We start from the raw sequence: 22,023 nt of genomic DNA, 5'->3' as shown, positions 1-22,023 counted from the left end.
AGTATAGATTTTGTAGATTTTTCCATGATTTCACTCATGCTATCTCACATTCCTCTTAATCTCATAAAACTTGTATAATACTTAAGACATAATCCATTGGAAATGCAATCACCAGCCATCCAAAGTTCTTTTTTTTTTTTTAAAGATAGAGATGGGGGTCTCACTATATTGCCTGGGCTGGTCTCAAACTCCTGAGCTCAAGTGATCCTCCCATCTCGGCCTCCCAAAGTGTTGGGATTACAGGCATGAGCCACCACACACAGCCCCAAAGTTCTTCCTATCCTACATCTTCCTCTCTTTTTAAGTGGGGGAAAAAAGTCTTGATCACGTGATCATGTTTTTAAACCTTTACACAACTAAGTCATAAACTGCCAGTTTTCTCTCAATATTCTCTAGATGTTTCTCAGCATCTCTATTTTTATGTTTCAAGTTACAAGTCTTCTGTGTCTTCAGGCTGAGGTACTCAGAAGCTAACCCCATACATGTGACTAGAAAGATCAAGTGAAAGATCAAATTCACTGAAATGAAATGATAACACAGTTAATACCTCCAATTTGTAAGAGAGAAAAGTTTGTTTTGCTCACATACTTGATAATCTCTCCATATTCATCCCATTTAATTCTTTCTTCTGGGGCAGGAAACATAGGATAGGACTTTTTTGCCTGTTTGAAAAAACTTCCTTTACGACTGCCTTCACCTTTCATCATCAAGTCATGCTTCGTCTTATGAGCTGATGGCTGGTCAATATCTTCCTCAATATCACTCTCATCACTGGAATCTATATCTGCCCTAGGAGGATTTTAGAATAGATCAAGGTCATAAAGTTTCAAAGATATTTTAAATTAATATTTATCAATTTATTACTGAATCCATACTCAATATTATTAATTCAATATTAAATGATAATATACAGTTATGTCGGTCAACAACAATAGACCACATATACAACAGAGGTCCCATAAGATTACTGTACCTTTTCTATGTTTAGATACATTTAGATACACAAATACTTAACATTGTGTTACAATGGCCTACAGTATTCAGTACAGTAACATGCTGTACAGGTTTGTAGCCTAGGAACAATGGGCCATATCATATACTCTGGATACACAGTAGGCTATACCATCAAGGTTTGTGTAAACATATATCCTAATGTTTGCACAATGACTAAATCCCCTAACGACACTTTTCTCAGAACTGTCCCCATCATTAAGTGATGCATGACTGGAATAACATTCAACTTTATTGGACTGACATTTTATAAAACATAACAAATAAATGCATAATAATATTAGCACTGACAGGATCTGGTATTCTAGACATTTGAAAGATGTCTGTAACAAAATTAAGTCTTACGAAAATTTAAAAATATTTTCAATGAAACATTTAAGTCAAGGACACATTCTTCTCAAATTGCATCCATAAATTTATAATCTGTCTGAAAATGACTCACTCTTTTGACTGCTCAAGCTTTTTGGCAGCTTCTTTCTTTAGTTTCTCTTTTTCCAAGTATTCTTCAAGTTCTTTCCCTTCAAGCTTCACACGTTTCCTCAACTAAAAAAAAATAAAAGACAAAAGGAAATGTTAATATGTTAATATTAGGGGGTTAAAGCAGTGGGATATGAGATACATCACATCTCTAAATTGCTCTATCATCTTTAAACTGATTGTTTCCTCTGAAATTAATCAAGTTTCCATTACATACAATTATAGGTCCTATTTAGATTAGTATTAAAATTGAGCTGTCACACATCATCTAGAATGGGTTTAATTTAAATCAAACTGGTTGGCCAGGCACAGTAGCTCACACCTATAATCCTAGCACTGTGGGAGGACTGCTTGAGGCCAGGAGTTCAAGACCAGCCTGGGCAACATAGGTTGACTCTGTCTCTAGGAATAATTTAAAAATTAGCTGGGAGGCTGGGCACGGTGGCTCACACCTATAATCCTAGCACTTTGCAAGGCAGGAAAATCACTTGAGTTTGAGACTAGCCTGGGCAACATAATGAGACTTTGTCTCCACATAAAAAAAAAAAAAAAAAAAAGCCAGGAGTGGTGGCATGTGCCTGTTGTCCCCGCTACTCAGGTGGTTAAAGTGGAAGATCACTTGAGCCTGGGAGGTCAAGGCTGCAGTGAGCTGTGCTCACACCACTGTACTCCAGCCTGGGTGACAAAGCAATACTCTGTCTCAGAAAAAAAAAAAAAAAAGCCAGTAGTGGTAGCATGCACCTGTAGTCCCAGCTACTCAGAGACTGAGTATCACTTGAGTCTGAGACTGAGGATCACTTCAGTCTGACAGAGCAAGACCCTGTCTCAATCAACCAAACAATCAAACTGGTTAAAAATCACCAATCAGGAAAAGAAAATACAGATAAGCATTTTTATAATTTGGAGTAGGTGAGGCCCAAAAGCCATAATGGGAAACATAAATAAATACAGCAACATGAATAAAGAAAAACTCCCTTTGACATTTTAAATCTCAAAATAAGAAACTGAAAAGAAAAACAAAAAAGAAACAGAAAAATATTTTCAGCACTACGACCAATAAAAATGATTTTTTCCTAAGAGCTCTTCCAAATTAGTTAAGAAAAGGATGATCAACACATGAAAAAGCACAAGATACTTAAAAAGGCAATTTACAAAATAAGAAAGACAAATAACTACTGGCCATGAAAAGATCCTTAATTTTACTAATTTTTGAAAAGCACAAAATATAAAAAACATAATTGTTTTCATCTATGAGATTGGCAATGCCATACATGGGGAAAGAGTACCTTCTTCCATTATCTGTTGGAAAATTAGTGCAACTATGTTAAAAGGCAATTTGCTAACATCTAAAAATAAAATTTGACATTTGACACAGTATTTCTACTTCTAGGAATTTATCCTACTGAAACAATCACAAATGTGTAAAAAAAAAGTACATTCGTACATTGCAGCAATGCTTATAGTAGTAAAAAACTGGACAAAATTTTAAAATCCATCAAAATGGAATGATTAAATCAGTAGTTCTCATATATTTATCTCAGGACTACCTTAGACTCCTAAAAATTAGAGAACCCCAAAGAGCTTTTTGTTTTTGTGGGTTATATTTATCAATGTCTACCTTATCAGAAATTAAAACTGAGCAATTTTTAAAATATTTATCTGTTCATTTAAAAAATAATAAAACCAGCAGGGCATGGTGGCTTATACCTGTAATCCTAGTACTTTGGGAGGTCGAGGCAGGCAGATCACCTAAGGTCAGGAGTCCGAGACCAGCCTGGCCAACATGGTGAAACCCCGTCTCTACTATAAATATAAAAAGTAGCCAGGCATGGTGGCACATGCCTGTAATCCCAGTTACCCAGGAAGCTGAGGCAGGAGAATCGCTGGAACCTGGGAGGCGGAAACTGCAGTGAGCCATAATCGCACCATTACACTCCAGCTTGGACAACAGAGTGAGACTCCAGCTCAAAAATAAATAAATTAATAATAATAATAGGCCGGGCGCGACGGCTCACACCTGTAATCCCAGCACTGTGGGAGGTCGAGGCGGGCAGATCACCTAAGGTCGGGAATTCGAGACAAGCCTGATCAATATGGAGAAAGCCCATCTCTACTAAAAATACAAAATTAGCCGGGCGTGATGGCACATGCCTGTAATCTCAGCTACTAGGGAGGCTGAGGCAGGAGAATCACTTGAACCTGGGAGGCGGAGGTTGCAGTGAGCCGAGATGGCACCATTGCGCTCCAGCCTGGGCAACAAGAGCGAAACTACATCTCAAAAATGAAAAAATAATAATAAATAAATAATAAATAAAACCACATGGCAACATTAACAGATTTTTACAAAAAATAATTACATTTTCCAAAGCAAAAAAAAGATAGTGGGAAGAACGGCATTTTTTTTTTTTTTTTTGAGACAGGGTCTTGCTCCATTGCCCAGGCTGGAGTGCAGTGGTGCAATTATAGCTCACTGCAGCTCAATCTTCCAGCCTCAAGCGATCCTCCCACTTCAGCCATCCACCACTCCCAGCTAATTTTTGTATTTTTTTTGTAGAGACCGAGTCTTGACATGCTGCCCAAGCTGGTCTCAAACTCCTGGAGTCAAGCAATCTGCCCTCCTCAGCCTCTCAAAGTGCTGGGATTACAGTCATGAGCCACCGCACCTGGCCTATAGCATTATTCTATATTTTTGCAAATCTCTTTAATGTCTAGCTCAACAGAAGACAGCTGGATTCTCACATTTGCTTCTCCATTCAGTCTCTTGCAATATGTTGTTTTGGTTAAAGTATATGAAGAAAATCCAGGCTTATACGCATGTATAGTTGAAAAGGGAAAAATATGTAAATAGTCCTTTCATGGATATTATTCTTTGATACTACATTAAAACTCAGAAAGTGGTAGTTTCTTCAAGGTTAGTTTTAACGCAGAACCTGAAACCATACTAATAGACTTTTTATACTCTGTTGTGTTAATTTTTTTTTTTTTTTATGTATCTTACACTCTTGTTTTTTGTTTTGTTTTGTTTTGTTTTTGAGACAGGGTCTCACTCTGTTGCCTACGATGAGTGCAGTGGCATGATCACTGCTCACTGCAGCCTCGAACTCCCAGGTTCAAGCAACCCTTCTACCTCCCAGCCTCCTGAATAGCTGCGACCACAGATGTGCACCACCATGCCCAGCTGATTTTTAATTTTTTGTAGAGACAAGGTCTCGCTATGTTATCCAGACTAGTCTTGAACTCCTGAACTGAAGCCATCCTCCTGCCTCTGCCTCCCAAAGTGCTGGGATTACAGGTGTGAGCCACTGTGCCCAGCCTGTATTTTAAATTTTGAATGGATCTTTTAATTTGTGCATTATTTTCTAACATAATTAATTGGTTATTTGGAAAATACTAGTTCACCAAGTTATCCAGATCTTACAAATGTTGACAATATTTTTAAAATCACATTTGTAAATATCACCACCAATCTTATCAGAAGTCTTTTCAGTTTAAGTTGTCAATCTCACAGTGCTGGGTATAAGTTTTCCAAAATTCTAAATTTTCATTTGAAAATTAGAATTTTATCAGATTTAAGCCAACAAATGCTGTCAATTGTTTTCTTTAGAGTGACAGGCTCAATGTATTAATTTTCAAGAAAATGTCTGCCAAATACCCAAATCTGAATAACCCTGTCATTATTTCACATAAAAATGGTGTTCCAGACTGGGCACAGTGATTCATGCCTGTAATTCTAGCACTTTGGGAGTCGGAGGTGAGAGGATTGCTTGAGGCCAGTTCGAGACCATATGGGCAGCGTAGCAAGACCCAGTCTCTACAAAAAAGAATTAAAAATTACAGGTGTGGTGAAACACACCCGTAGTCCTAGCTGGTAGGAAGGCTGAGGCAGGAGGGTCACATGAACGCAGAAGTTCAAGGATGTGGTGAGCCATGATTGTGCCTCTGCACTCCAACCTGGGCAACAGAGACCCAAACTCAAAAAAAAAAAACACACACACAAAACAGGGCCTGGTGCGGTGACTCGCGCCTGTAATCCCAACACTTTGGGAGGCCGAGGCAGGTGGATCGCCTGAGGTCAGGAGTTCGAGACCAGCCTGGCCAACATAGTGAAACCCCATCTCTACTAAAAATATGAAAAAAAAAAATTAGCTGGGCAACGTGGCACACACCTGTAGTCCCAGCTACTTGGGAGGCTGAGGCAGGAGAATCGCTTGAACCCGGGAAGTAGAGGTTGCAGTGAGCCGAGCGCTCCAGCCTGGCGACAGAGCAAGGCTCCGTCTCAAACACAAGAAAAAAAAAATACCAACAAAAAAAAGGTGTTCCCAGAAAAAAGTGGCTAGTTTAACTCACGACTCAAATAAACATACAAGTGTTTTTCTTGGAGATAGCCATTGTACTTTAGTACACAACGCAAATTCTTTATTAATACTTCCCATCTTGTCACCCAAATTATTTTAAAAAATCTTTTACTAGGCCAGGCGCAGTGACTCATGCCTGTGATCCCAGCACTTTGGGATGCTGAGGCAGACGGATCACAAAGTCAGGAGATCAAGACCATCCTGGTTAACATGGTGAAACAATGTCTCTACTAAAACTACAAAAAATCAGCCAGGCGTGGTGGCACACACCTGTAGTCCCAGCTACTCAGGAGGCTGAAGCAGGAGAATCACTTGAACCTGGGAGGCGGAGGTTGCAGTGAGCCGAGATCGTACCACTGCACTCCAGCCTAGACGACAGAGCAAGACCCATCTCAAAAAAAAACAAAAAAACTTTTACTGAAAGAACTTAGTAATATTAGTAACTTTTACTATTCCCTCAAGGACTTTTTTTTCTTTTTTGTAGAGACAGGGTCTCGCTATGCTGCCCAGACTGGTCTCAAACTCCTGGCCTCAAGCAATCCTCTCACCTCAGCCTCCCAAAGTGCTGGGATTACAAGCATGAGCCAGTATGTCTGGCCCCTCAAAGACATTCTCTTTCAAATTTCTTTTGTTTAATATACCTTTATACTTCGTAGAGGCAGAGTGTTGCTGTTGCCCAGGCTGGTCTGAAACTCCTGGCCTCAGGTGAACCTCCCATCTTAGCCTCGCAAAGTGTTAGGAATAGGCATGGGCCATGACGCCCAGCCTCTCAAGGACATTCTTAAGTGAAACTAGCATTTTTTTTTTAATGACGTGTATGTACGGTGGTGAAAAATGCAGTGGCTACTAGTGGAGTTTTAGGCCAAGGTGTAAGCACTTTATGCACCACTGATCTTACTCATCAGTACAAATGTAGGCACAGTGAAAAGGCAAATATCATCTTACCAGTATTATGAAAAATAGTTTTGGCTTTGTGGACTCCCTGAAAGGGTCTCAGGGACTCCCAGGCGTCCTCAAACCACACTTTTGAGAACCACGAGATTAAATAATCACAGCACACATATACAATGTACTATTATAAAATTACTAAAAAGCTTACATTTATTTATCCAAAAACATTTAAATGTTTGTAATATACCAGGTACTATGTAAGGTAGACCCATATCTTCTTACATTGTTCAAGAAGGACTCAAGTGAAAATACAAGTCTCAGGGTATGTGGAATACATGATAATTTGGTCCCATCTCTCTCTCTCTACATATATATATATACATTTCTTTCTTTTTTTTTTTTTTTTGAGAAGAGGCCTTGCTATATCGCCCAGGCTTGCCTTAAACTCCTAGGCTCAAGCAATCCTCTTGCCTCAATAGCTGGGACTACAGCCACATGCCACCACACCTTGCTCCCATCTCTTTAAAAAAATAAAATAAAAACCAGGTATTAGTATATCAATAAGAAAAAAAAAACCCAGAATATATATGCTTCAAAAATGTCAACAGTTATGACAATTAAATGCAGTATGTAGTCATGGATGCGAACCTGGACAAAAAAGGAAAGGGTAATTATAAAGGACATTGTGGTCATCGGTAAAAGGTGAATGCTGAATGGGGTCAATGGGTGAAATGGTAGGATGGTATCAATGTTGATTTCCTGATTTCAATGGATGTAACACAGTTTTGCTGGAGATTGCCCTTGTTTTTAGGTAACACACACTGGCAATATTTAGAGATAATGATAAAATATTTGCAATTTTTCTTCAAATGGTTCAGAAAAAGTAATATTGTGTTTATGTGTATATAAGTGATAAAGCAAATCCAGTAAAATGTTGACAATTGGGGAATCTGGGTATAATATTTTTGTAACTTTCCTGTTTGAAATTTTTTCAAAATTAAAAGTAATGGAAAAGGGGGAATCTCTCTGAAACTATTCTAGTTCAGGGGCTGCCCAGTGGGGTAAGGGGAGGGGAGACAAGTAAAAACAAAAAAATTAAACCAAAATCAGATTATTTTCATGTATAAAATAAATGGGTGATTTACATGTTTAAGGCCAGGAGCAGTGGCTCACACCTATAATACCCACACTTTGGGAGGCCAAGGTGGGAGAATTGTTTGAGGCCAGTAGTTCAAGACCAGCTTGGGCAACACAGCAAGTTCCCATCTCTATAAATTTTTTTTTAAATTAGCTGGGCATGGCGGCACATGCCTGCAGTGCGAACTAATTGGGAGGCTTAAGCAGGAGGCGCGCTTGAGCCCAAGAGTTCAAGACTGCAGTGAGCTATGATCATGCAACTGCACTCCAGCCTGGGTGACAGGGAATGACATGACCCTGTCTCAAAAAATAAAAAGTTAAAATAAACAAATAAATACATGTTTATATTTGGCATCTCACATTTGCCTAATAACTTATTTGAAAATAAGTTTCATTCAGAAAATAGTGGGTTTTTTTTAAAAACAGTTAGCAACCTACATAGATGCCTTTTACCCACCAATAATCTTTAACAAAGTATTTACCTCTGTGATTTAGTTTATGCCTGTTGCTATAATAAATTTTTATCTCCATCTTATTTTTCATTTAAAATATGTAAGATTAATGGCTTATTCAGAAACAGATTTCTAGAATAACCAACTCAAAAATATTTTTCTTCCTACTCCTTCACCGTATTACCTCCAACTTACTCCTTTTTCTAATCCAAATCTACTCCAACCTATTAATCCTTCGTTGTTCATTTTTGCTTTTTCTAAATGAGTAAGACTTGACTTAGAAGGGCATTAGATATAGATGAAAAAATACCATACTTGGTAAACTTTTCTTATCTAACATAATCAGAAATCTAGTTTATTCCATATTCACTTTTTTGATTATTCATGAATTCAACCAGTGCACTCACTGAAGCCCTCCAATATGTCAGGCACAGTTCTGGGTGCTAGGGATACCAAAAAACAAGGGCCTTTTTCTCATGGAATTCATATTCTAGTTGATGGTGGGAAGAGGAAGACAACAAAAAAGAAATACATCAGATGGTGATGAGTGCTAGGAAAAATACTTCAAGTAAGGTGATGGGCAGCTAAACCAGGCAGGTATTTTAAATCTGTAGTCAAAGGCCTACCTGAGGGGGTTAAACCTGAGGCCTGAATGACCAGGAGCCAGCCATGCGCAAAGCCAGGAAAGAACACTATAGGCAGAAGAACAGCTAGTACAAAGATCCTGATGCACCGTAGGGCATAGAGAAAGTGGAATAAGCTAAGGTCAGAAGGTAGGTGGGGATTAGATCATATGGGATCTAAGAAGCCTGTGTAAGTAGCATGGATTTTATTGAAAGAGAAGAAGGAAGGCTTTGGAGCCATTTAAGCAAGTGAATGACATGAAATGATGAATGTTTAAAAGCTCTCTCTGGGAGCTGTTATCCAATAGGTACAGAGTTTCAGTTTTGCTACATGAAAAAGTTTTAGAGATCTGTCATACAACAATGTACATATAGTTAACACTACTGTACTGTACACATAAAAATGGTTAAGAGAGTGAACTGTATGTGTTTTTGTTTGTTTTTTGAGATGGAGTCTCGCTCTGTCACCCAGGTTGGAGTGCAGTGGCGCGATCCTGGCTCACTGCAATCTCCACCTCTCAGGTTCAAGCGATTCTCCTGCCTCAGCCTCCCGAGTAGCTGGGATTACAGGCGCCCACCACCACGCCAGGCTAATTTTTTGTATTTTTAGTAGAGACAGGGTTTCACTTTGTTGGCCAGGCTGGTCTCGAACTCCTGACCTCGTGATCCGCCCACCTCTGCCTCCCAAAGTGCTGGGATTACAGGCGTGAGCCACCACGCCCAGCCCTCTATTTCTTTTTTTACCATTTCTATTTTTTACCTTAGTTGGATCTGCCCAACATGCCACAGAAATATTCTATTTCTCGATCAGGGTACAGGCTAGACAGGTGCATTCAATTTTTGTAAAAGTTCATCATGCTATACACTTAACGTAGGTTTTGGTACATATTACGATTCAGTGAACATTTTTTAAACTTCCAAATTTTTGGCTTGAATATGTGGGAAGTGCTGTCTGAGATAAGACAGAACAGTATTGGGAGTAGGGGAAGAATAAAAATTGTTTTGGATGTGATCAAGTAGAGGGAAAACTGCTAGATAATGAAGATAGGAGGGATAACTGCAAAAGAACTATCGCTAAGAAGGTGAGCAAGAAAAGGTCCCTGAGCATCAGCATTAGTTATTAAAAAGGTCAAAAACTTAACATTTGATGTTTTGGCTGTTTCTCATTTCTTTAGCATGCTTCTAAACATCATTGTCTATTTTTTTCCAAACTTAAACCATTTTTCTTTTACTAATTCCTCAAATGGTTTATTAGACCTAATTGAATTTCTAGTAATTAAAATTTTCAAATTCAGTATTTCCTATCTGATGAAATTGTTTCAAGTATTTCTTAGTTCTTTTAACCTTGTATTTCTGAGCTACTAAATAACCCCAAAGACACCATTTTACTTTGCTATACTTGCTCAGAATCCTTGCTCAACAATTCTATAATTATAGTACATATATCTCAGATTTTAGTTACTGATGTTATGATTTTCTTAAGTAGAGTTGGCAGACAGATATCTCTACCACATAGCTTTTAACAAACTAAACTTTCCTTAAAATGACTGCTAAGGGCCAGGTGCAGTGGTTCATGTATAATCCCAGCACTTTGGAAGGTGGAGTGGGTTAGGGGGTGGTGTAGGGACAGCTTGAGCCTAAGAGTTTGAGGGTACAGTGAGCTATGATGGTGCCACTGCACTCCAGGCTGGGTGACAGAGTGAGAGTCTGTCTCTAATTAAATAATTATATGAGTGCTACAAAGACAAAATGAGAAGCAGCTTTATGATACTGCTTTATGTTAAGGTTTGTTACAGTTCTATGTTAAGGTTTAGTCAGCTAAACCTTTGTACAACTCTGGCAGTTATTAACCATCCCACTATATCAATTGCTACAAACTTTAATGATATACTAATTTTGAAAAATCGATAGATTTGATGGGCTGGTTATTAAGCAAATGATCTTTGGGTATACTGGTTAGTGAGCTAATAGTCTTGTTCCTATAACAAGAGATAAGGCAGCAAATGCAGATGCAGAATCAAGTTAGTACATTTAGTGGTGGAAAGATAAAGGAATTCCTGACTCACTGCTTTGACTTCTACATTAAGTTTGAGACAAGATCATGTGCTATGAATGAAGGCTGAGAGTGAGCTGTAGGATGTTTGAGGAGAAAGAAGATATACAATTACCTTACCGTGAGAAAGGGAACATCCTACCAAATGCTGAGTACTGGTATGGGGTCCCCTTTTGAGATGTGAAGTTATGAATGTGAAAACAAATCTGTCTACACCATAATGTTTAACTTCAGAAACATAAAGCTGCTTAAGTACAGGCACAAACCAAGCAAATGGTTTAACTAAGGTCAAAGCCTTTCCAGGCAACTAAAACAGAAGTGTAGGAGAGTTAAATGTATTTGCAAAATTTTGCTTAATTGTGGACCACTGAGTTTAAGGCTGGAAGGATGACAGACTGTAAAAGGTGAGGTTCACGAACTGAAAGTCCCAATGGAACAGAAGAGTTGTTGTCATGGGAATAATAGGGAAAGTCAGCTGTAAATTCAGAATGATATGCTTGAGGTGGAGAACTGGAGACCGTTCAGCCATAAGAAGGTTACAGGCAATGACCACAGGAGCAGATAGCATGATAGCAGGAATGGATGTCTGAGGTAAGACGAAGGAAAAGATTAAGAAATAAGGTGCCAAGTAACTGAGAAGAACCAGACAGATCATACACATGGATGCTAAAGTCAATGAGAATAAAGTCCTGAACACAAGTGGACAGGAAGACTGTGAATCAGGGTCAAATGATGAATGAGTAACAGAATGACCAAGAGATCATTAAATGTCAGAAACAAGGAGGGGTCAGCATATCAGCAGGTCTGAAGGCAAAAACTGCAAATGGAAGATAAGTAGCTAGGAAGCTGCAATACAGAACAAGGAAGACGTGTACTCCATTCAAAGTACATGAAACACTGAAAGAAAGAGTAATTACTTCAGGGGGCTACAGGATAAAGAACGTCTTTAGGAAAGAGTCTGATTTAAATTAAGCAAGAGACAGGAAAGGAACCTTTCACAGATTGAGAAAACCCTGTATATGCTTACCCTCTGGGTAAACTAGAGGGTACCACGGAAAAGTTTAAGAATGAGAATTTCTTTTGAGACCACCCATGGCAACATAATGAGACAACGTCTTTCCAAAAAATAAAAATAAAAAAATAGCCAGGCATGGTGGCACATGTCTATGGTTCCAGCTACTTAGGAGGCTGAGGGAGGAGGATCCTTTAAGCCCAGGAGTTTGAGGCTGCACGGAACTATGATAGCACCACTGCACTCTAGACTAGGTAACAAAGCAAGACCCCATCTCAAAGAAGAATGAGAACCTCCAGTTAAGGAACTCTGAAATTTGTGCTATTAAAGGCTCTCTTCCACAGTAGTTTTTTTTTAAGAGATGGGGGGTGGGTCTTGGCATGTTGCCCAGGCTGACCTCAAATTCCTGGGCTCGAGTGGTCCTTCCGCCTCAGCCTCCCGAGTAGCTGGCACTACAGCACACACCACCACTCCTGGCTCTCAAGAGTAATTCTGATAAAAATCCTAAAACAATTTCAAGTTTTATTTTTGGTCACTATTTTTTTACATCATGCACAATGTATCCCCCAAACAGTTTTAAGATAAAGTTCACATACAAGTGCTTACCTCTATTTCTGTAATTTTTTCAGAAGGATTATCAATTAGGAAACGTGCTAAAGTCCCAGGAGTAGTTCTGTAGGTTAGAATGATTGAGTTTTTAGGGTCCTGACACCACTGAATAAAGAGATCCCTTGAAAATCCGCATTCCAGGTCAGGTTGGCTGGCAAGTACAACTTTAGGGCTAGGTACACGGGCCAAGTCAGAAAGACCATGACATAAAGAGAGATGGCGAAACTGAAACGGATTATTTCTTTTGTCTTCAAAACATCTCATCAATTTATCACTCATCCATTCTACCTAACATGGGGGGAAAGATGACAAGAATTAGAAATACTATATTATAACTTCAATATATTCTCTAATAGTCAAGGAATTCAAGTTCTATCTTTTACCCCCACTGGTTGCTTAAATTTGTACTGTTTTGACAAGCAGCTTATTTTCTGCTTCCATTTCCCATTAGATTATCCCACCCTCACTTTCATCCCAAAGAAAACCAATTTTGCATTATATTTCACATATAAATCACCTTAAATCTTTTTGAAAAGGCAAGGTATATGTTCTAAATGAAAATCTTACTCCCAAAGATTGCTATTTCAAGGCAAAAAGCTTATTTAAAAGAAAGAACAATGAATTCTAACATGCCAATGCTATGAGGTAGGTTCTATTTTTGTCCCCATTTTACAGACTGGGATACTAAGAGTTAGAAGGGAAGCAATTTGCCTAATCTTTAAAACAGGGACACAATGGAAACTACTTAATAGAATAAATAGGGATTAAATTAAATAATACATTTAAAGCACACAGGACAGTAAATGGTTAATGCCAAGTTATCATCTTATTAACAATCTCTTCAAGAGAAAAATAAAATCCAAAAAACATTTAAGACGCCCACTTCCACAGACCCAATCACTGTAGCAAACTTATTACAAGTGACAACATGAGAACAAACCTGGGACTTAGAAAACTCCACCACATTGTAACTGACATTATTTAGGAGTGCCAATGAGTAAACACCCAATCCTGCATCTTTAGTCCTCCAAATCTGATCAAGAAGTTGAGCAAGTTCCAAAACTCTGCCTGCTGTGTCCACTGCTATTAACACATTTCCATCACCTCGAAGTGTTTCCAGGACATTTGCTAGAAAACAAGAATGTAAAATCCCCATAGAACGTAACAATACTATGCTACAAAATTAAAGATAATTTTATCTCCCTGTTTTTATTAGAAAGACTATAATTTACAAATAAGCAACTACTAGGCCAAGTACAAAATGAAGGAATTTTGTTCAGGTCATTACAACTGCTTTTGATTCTGTTGAATATCTCTTCATATATTCAGTGTCATTAACTCTCAATCTTTCTTCATTAAAAAATTATAAATCAGTAGTCCTCAACACTTTATACATCATAATACACATAGAAAATGGTGTGTGTATCACTGAGAAAATTGTATGACCAGGCCAAATGTAACCAGCCTGGTGTTTCCGGGCTACCCTGGTCTCGCCTATCCACCCCAGTGAACTCCGTTATGATGAATTCCCAAATTTATATACATACATATATACACTCACATAATTATATATACAGCCATCCCTCAGTACCCATGGGTACTGGCCCCGGGACTCCCACGAATACCAAAACCATCAGATGCCCAGGTCCCTCAAATAAAATGGTGGCCAGGCGCAATGGCTCACACCTGTAATCCCAGCAGTTTGGGAAGTCAAGGCAAGAGGATGGCTTGAGTCCAGGAGTTCAAGACCAGCCTGGACAACATAGGGAGATCCCGTCTCTATAAAAATAAACAAATTAGCCGGGCATGGTGGCACATGCCTGTGGTCTTAGCTATGTGGGAAGCTAGAGGGAGACTGCTTGAGCCCAGGAGTTTGAGGCTGCAGAGAGTCGTGATTGTGCCACTACACTCCAGCATGTACAACAGAGAAAGACTTTGCCTCAAAAAAACAATATATCTGCATATAACCTACGTACATCCTCCTATATACTTTAAATCATCTCTAGATTGCTTATAATACCTAATACAGTGTACATGCTATGTAAATGGTTGTTACACTGTTTTTTTTTACTTATATTTTTTAAACTATTGCATTATCTTCTTTTATTGTTTTTTCAAATATTTTCAATCCACAGTTAGTTGAATCCTCAGATGTGGAACAGCAGCTACAAAGGCCAACTATGTATGATACATAGTTTGTATGTATGTATGCCTATAGAATAAAATATAGATCATATTCCCTTCCAACAAGTATATCTTTATGGATTTCCTTCCTCTAGATGAAAGTCCCCTTGGAAATATGTGGTAAAACTGAACTCTAGCAAAACTAAGACTTAAAGAGCCGCTACTTTTTTTGTTTTTCAGTTTGTTTGTTTGTTGAGACAGGGTCTCGCTCTGTCACCCAGGCTGGAGTGCAGTGGTGTGATCATAGCTCACTGCAGCCTCAACCTCCTGGCCTCAAGCAATCCTCCCACCCCAGCCTCCCAAGCAGCTGGAACTACGGGCCTGTACCACCACGTCTGGCAAAAATTTTCTTTTTTTTTGTAGAGATGGGGATTGCGGCCAGGCATGGTGGCTCACACCTATAATCCCAGCACTTTGGGAGGCCAAGGCAGGCAGATCATGAGGTCAAGAGATCGAGACCATCCTGGCCAACATGGTGAAACCCCGTCTCTACTAAAAATACAAAAAATTAGCCGGGCATGGTTGCACACGCCTGTAATCCCAGCTACTCGGGAGGCTGAGGCAGGAGAACCACCTGAACCCAGGAGGTGGAGGTTGCAATGAGCCGAGATCGCGCCACTGCACTCCAGCCTGGCGACAGAGCGAGACTACATCTCAAAAAAAAAAAAAAAAAGAGATGGGGGTCTCACTATGTTACCCAGGCTGGTCTTGAACTGCTGGCTTCAAGCCATCATCTTGCCTCAGCCTCCCAAAGTGTTGACCATTGACCACAATGTCAGGCGTGAACCACAGTGTCTGGCTTGAGCTTCTTAAAGTTGGTGCAACACGGTATATTATTAATAGTTACACTTTTAGTGGCAGGGCGCGGTGGCTCACGCCTGTAATCCCAGCACTTTGGGAGGCCGAGGTGGGCGGATCACAAGGTCAAGAGATCAAGACCATCCTGGCCAACATGGTGAAACCCCGTCTCTATTAAAAGTACAAAAATTAGCTGGGCGTAGTGGCGCACACCTGTAATCCCAGCTACCTGGGAGGCTGAGGCAGGAGAATCACTTGAACCCGGGAGGCAGAGGTTGCAGTGAACCGGGATTGTGCCACTACACTCCAGCCTGGCGACAGAGCAAGACTCCATCTCAAAAAAAAAAAAAAAAAAAAAATAGTTGTACTTTTAAAGTAGATGAACTAAAAACAATGGTTGAAAACATGTTTAAAAATGGAATCCAATTTTCCCTGCTGAAATCCCTTATAGCTTATTTAAAAAGAATATAAGGCCAGGTGCAGTGGTTTACGCCTGTAATCCCAACACTTTGGGAGGCTGAGGCAGGAGGATCACCTGAGGTCAGGAGTTCAACACCAGCCTGGCCAACATGGCGAAACCCCATCTCCACTAAAAATATAAAAATTAGCTGGGCATGGTGGCGCATGCCTGTAATCCCAGCTACTTGGGAGGCTGAGGCAGAAGAATCACTTCAACCCGGGAAGTGAAGGTTGCAGTGAGCCGAGACTGTGCCACTGCACTCCAGCCTGGGCAACAGAGCAAGACACCATCTCAAAAAAAAAAAAAAAAAGAATGTAAGATGAAGCAAGCAGCAATGGCCTACTATATTAAAGTGTAAAACACCCAAAATTAGTGGAATATTTACAGCCTCATTTATCCACTTAGCTCTTTGTTCATTTTTCTTTTTTTTTTTGAGACGGAGTCTCACTCTGTAGCCCAGGCTGGAGTGCAGTGGCCAGATCTCAGCTCACTGCAAGCTCCGCCTTCCGGGTTTACGCCATTCTCCTGCCTCAGCCTCCTGAGTAGCTGGGATTACATGCACCCGCCACCACGCCCGGCTAATTTTTTGTATATTTAGTAGAGACGGGGTTTCACCGTGTTAGCCAGGATGGTCTCAATCTCCTGACCTCATGATCCGCCTGCCTCAGCCTCCCAAAGTGGTGGGATTACAGGCGTGAGCCACTGCACCTGGCCTCATTTTTCTTTTAGAGTATATTTTTCTAATAGATTTGTACGAGGTCTTTACATACAGACATATGCCAGTGAGTGCCAGGGATAGCTAGCTATGTACTGACTGGCAAAAAGAAGCCAATCTTTACACACTGTTCCACAAAAGTTAAATTCAAACCAGCTAAGTTTCTTCTTATACAAAAACTGATGGTCACATAATATTTTTTTCAAAAATACTAAAGTTAACCAATCTCTTATGACCAAGAAAAGTGCTAAACAGAATACAGTCATTCCCACTACCATGCATTTCCACAGCTCCTTGAAAAGGACATTATACATTGGGTACAACATTCACGATTCTGGAGACGGATACAGTAAAAGGCCAAACTTCACCACTGTGCAACGTATGCATTAAGAAACCTATACTTGTGGCCGGGCGTGGTGGCTCATGCCTGTAATCCCAGCACTTTGGGAGGCCAAGGCAGGTGGATCACCTGAGGTCAGAAATTCAAGACCAGCCTGGCCAACATGGAGAAACCCTGTCTCCACTAAAAATACAAAAATTAGCTGGGCGTGGTGGTGCACACCTGTAATCCCAGCTACTCGGGAGGCTGAGGCACAAGAATCACTTGAACCCAGGAGGCGGAAGTTACAGTGAGCCGAGATCGCGCCACTTCACTCCAGCCTGGGTGAAAGAGCGAAAGTCCGTCTCAAAAAAAAAAAGAAACCTGTACTTTTATGTACTTATATTCCCTAAATATACAAAAAGTTACAAAATAATAATAATAATAAGGACGTGAAAGAATACGTACTCAGAAGCTGCTCATCTCTCTGTTTTCTTCTAGGCTGTACATATGTAGCATTGAATGAATCTGTGATAAGTAGGGAAGGCCTGCTTAGCATTTCCAGGGAACATCCATTTAAATGGCTATAAGAAAGTTTAAGAAGAGGAATATTTTATATCATTTCAAGTAAACAATAATAGCTTCTCTTACTTAAAAAATAAGCAGCTTCATTTATAAGGTGTTCCCTCCTCTAACTATAAAAGTAGACATGCTCATTGATAAGAAATCCAGTAACTTCAAAAAAGTATAAAGAAGAAAATAAAAATCTTCCAGAGTACCATTACTCAGAGATAACTGACATAATATTTTGGTGTACATCCTGCTAACCATATAAGTTTTTCTATGCACATATGTATTTTTTTTATTTTTCTTTTTGCCCTGTCTTATGGTAAGTACTGATATACATATGTATTTTACAAAGCTGATATCCCATATACATTCCTATACGCTCAGTTCTATATCCTGGTTTTTACCCAGGACATAAAAATTTTTTTCTAAACTAAATGTTTAACAGTTATAAAAACATTTTATTGTGTCTACACTGTATTTGATCCTTTCCCTTTACTGATATTTCGGTCACTTATTTTTGCCATTATAATCTTCCAAAGAACATTTTTTACAAAAGCTTCAATTGCATTTCTGATTGTTTCTTTAGGTCACATTCCTAAAAATGTATTTACTGTTAATACATAGTACTGCTAAAAGGCTTTCCAGCAAGATTTAACCTCATCCAGAAAAGTTCAATCAAAAAGACTGACCAATTCTACATACTTCCCAGAAGAAAATCACCATTTAAAAATAATTTTGGACTAGTGCAGTGGCTCATGCCTGTAATCCCAACACTTTGGGAGACAGAGGTGGGCAGATCACTGGAGCCCAGTAGTTCAAGACCAGCCTGGGCAGCATGGCAAAACCTCATCTCTACTAAAATTACAAAAATAGCCAGGCATGTTAGAGCGCACCTGTAGTCCTAGCTACTTGGGAGGCTAAAATGGGAAGATTGCTTGAAGCTGGGAGGTCGACACTACAGTGAGCCGTGATTGTGCCTCCAGCCTCGGTGACAGAGTGAGACTCTGTTTCAAAAAAATACATAAAAATATAAATAAGAATAATAATAATTTTAATGGTATCTAACAAAAAAAGATCATTTAAATTTTCTCTTTTGACTTTATAACTTTTGTCCATCTTGCAACTGGTATATTTTTATTAATAAATTAATACTTGATCTTATATATATGTTGTAAGTTTTTGGGCAACTTGCTGCAAATATTTTCCTACTTTGATTTTTTTTTTTATTTGTTGTTTCAGACATTTGAACCTGTATGTCATCAAATCTATCAAACTTTTACTTTGTAACTTGGTTCATTATTTTTATGCTTACAAAGTCTTTTCCAAATCAGAGATCAGACTCACCAATATTGCTTCATTTCTATTTAGTTCTAATCCATCTGAAATTTCTTTTGTTATATAATTAAAAGGACACAAATTGATTTTTTTCCAAAATGGTTGAATCCTTCAATACCATTTACTCAAATAGCCATGCTGCAGTTTGCCACGGTTACTACGAGACTGAACGAAGGAGGACGAATGCAGAAATGAAAACTTAAAACAAAAGTAACTATTTTAAAGGAAGGGGTCAGGAGAAGAAGAAGAGAGCTCCCTGCTTCTAGTGAGCAAAGGGAGCTGCCTTCAGCTTCTACAGCCCTTCATATTTATTGGGTAGAAAGAGCAGGGAGGACGAGGTAACAATTGGTCAGCTGCTTAATTGATCACAGGTTCACATTACTGCTAACAGGCTTCAGATGTGTCTAATCACAAGAAACACCTGCACCTGAGGCCTGACTGCCCTCAGCATTCCTTCTGGGTGGCAGACACAGTTTGTCAGTTTGCCAATTTTCTGCGTTTATGCGAACAGTTTGCTGTTTACTCATATAGCCTCCAGTGGTATACTGAGTTGATCACGACCCTCACTCTTTTGCCCTGCAACATAGCCATCCTTTCCTCATTAATCTATGGTTATAAGTGTCTAAAATTCAGTCTATTTGTCTTAAATATTTCTTAATATAAAGATCCTGAGACTATTGTAATGTAACACAAAATAGCTATGAACTTAATGTACAGATAAAACAAAACGAGCCTGTAAGAGACTAAACACCAAAATATTATATAGTAATGCTCTGAGTGCCACATGAAGTGTGTAAAATCATAACTAGAATTGAGTTCCCTTTCAAAGGGACTAACTTTAAACATACAGGGCAGTTATATTAGATGGTAATTACATTATGTGCAAGGCAACTCCTGTTTCTAAAACTATCAGATCTCGTGAAACCCATTCACTATCACAAGAACAGCACGGGAAAGACCCAACCTCATAATTCAATCATCTCCCACCGGGTCCCACCCACAACATGTGGGAATTATGGGAGCTATAAGATGAGATTTGGGTGGGGACACAGAGCCAAACCATATCACGTTACAAAACAAAAGAACAACCCATCCACAAAGTTGTGTTAAATAGCAGGTCAAGAACATGTAATTTGATACGTAAAAAATTCATCTCCTTTGCAACATCTCCAGGGAGATACCCGTTTTGTAGAGTGTATACTTAACCTATAAATTTTTAAAATCTCTTATGTCTTATACCATACTTTCCCCCTTACTATGCAAATAATTAATTTTGAAAACACTCCCTATTTGACGGTTTTAAGTTGCTCTAAATTTCTGGTAACCAAAACAAAAACTGTGTTTCTTATTTTTTCTCCAAAGAATAAAATAATACCAATTGCATTGCCTTTAGCTTTTCTCTTGATATACCTACATCTCCCTCTTGTGGTTGAAGTCAACTGCATAAACAATTTCTTCTTCTCCATCTTTGACTATTTTCCATATTGTTCCACCTATCATATGACCAGCTGGCAGAGGTGTGATAGACAGGCCATGTCCTTTACCTATGTCAACAAGATAACAATACTCAGATTTCTTTTACAACCCTAAAGAAAGGTTATTTATTTCTCAACTATAATATTTTAATAGGTAATACTGTATATGCAATAATACAAATTTCAAAAGTAAAAATGCATATAGTGAAAGCAGGCTTCACTCTCCTGTCCCCCACCTACTCCACTCCCTCACTAGAGGCAAACATTCTTGTTACTATATTATGTAATCTTGTAGAGTTATTTGTGCTTATAAGTACAAGGCTAGAGATTAGATTTAAAAGCTAGTACACTATTAAATTATTTAGTATGAACTAGCAAATTTTAATGTGTATTTTGTATATACAGTTACCAAATGTTTCCATTTTTGCTAACGTCTAAACTAACAGAATAATTTAAATCTCATTGTGCTAAAGAATTTATCCTGCAGAAAAATTAACTAGAAGCAAAACTGTTGAGACTGTTGTTATTTCTGGGCTAAATCTTCAGAGTCCATTATTGCACCATTTTATCAATGCCAGGGTTCATATCTATGAAAATATCTAATACAATTATCTCTGTAGATGATAAATATAGACTTAGTATAGGACTTCCTAATTCAATAATAAACTTTTTAACGTCCAATGCTAGAATTCATTATCTACTCTGCTGCCATAGCACTTCATTTACCCCAATCACTACATTTAGCCATCTCAGCTACTTTGTTGCCTCAATCTAACTGTAAGCTCTGAGGAAGAGGAAATGGCCACATTATCTTTTGTTTATTGTACACAGTAAACACTAAATGAGTTTTTCCCAAGTTAAATATGAAAAGGCCTGAGCTATTAACATTCTGTTAGCATTTTTTCTGAAATATTTTAAAATTCAAATGGAAGTTAAGAGTTCTGTATCAAGGCAGAATGTGCTAACTTTTTTATTCTTCAGCCTATAATGCCTATAATTTTCTCTCTGAATTCTCCTCGGTATTTTCCAGCAAGTTAAACCCCATTCATCTAAATACTTACTACTGGAAATTCTTTTTACCTTTCAAATTCACAATCTGAGAGAATTTTAGCTGCTGTATTTTATCAAAGGCTGCATCCACATCATCTAATGTAAAGAGTGTAAAATCTTCTGTATTGTGTCGAGACTAAAAGAATAACACAAATAAAGGTGAAAAACAATCACTGAAGGAGTGCTAACAAAATTTTTTTAATTGCTTAAATTACCTGATAAAGATCATACATGAACATCTGTCCCATTTTATAAACAGGAATGGTTGCATAGATAGCACAGTTCAGACCCAACTTTCCGACAGCATACGGGAGGGCACCAAGGTGGAGAGGATCAGGGTGAGACAACAGCACTGCATCAATCTGGTGAACATGCCTACAAGAACACAATCCAAAGGACTACTTCTTGAATCTTTTTAAGGGTAAAGACAGAATATTCAAAATTATTCACCAATTCTGGATTGAAGACTACACTGGGGCAGAAGAGCAAAACTAAGA

At 38.7% G+C, this 22,023-nt stretch overlaps 1 protein-coding gene across 4 annotated transcripts in view; it reads right to left on the bottom strand.

Moving 5' to 3' along the window:
* The window catches only part of CPSF2 (cleavage and polyadenylation specific factor 2), a 50,177-nt gene that overhangs the window by 16,234 nt on the left and 11,920 nt on the right, over positions 1–22,023 (bottom strand). For 3 of the 4 annotated variants that reach the window (NM_001322272.2, NM_017437.3, NM_001322270.2), the window contains exons 4-11: positions 21,742–21,901; positions 21,557–21,662; positions 20,416–20,545; positions 17,565–17,680; positions 13,561–13,748; positions 12,618–12,908; positions 1,454–1,554; positions 589–789 (exon numbers count right to left, since the gene is read on the bottom strand). In NM_001322272.2, the coding sequence (NP_001309201.1) occupies positions 589–789; positions 1,454–1,554; positions 12,618–12,908; positions 13,561–13,748; positions 17,565–17,680; positions 20,416–20,545; positions 21,557–21,662; positions 21,742–21,901 (1,293 nt within the window). The remainder of the gene's footprint in view (positions 1–588; positions 790–1,453; positions 1,555–12,617; positions 12,909–13,560; positions 13,749–17,564; positions 17,681–20,415; positions 20,546–21,556; positions 21,663–21,741; positions 21,902–22,023) is intronic. The other variant, NM_001322271.2, reaches the window with a different exon arrangement.

The sequence above is a fragment of the Homo sapiens genome, chromosome 14 (genome assembly GCF_000001405.40).
Source record: "Homo sapiens chromosome 14, GRCh38.p14 Primary Assembly".
NCBI lineage: Eukaryota > Metazoa > Chordata > Mammalia > Primates > Hominidae > Homo > Homo sapiens.
This window is presented reverse-complemented; position numbering and strand designations above follow the sequence as displayed.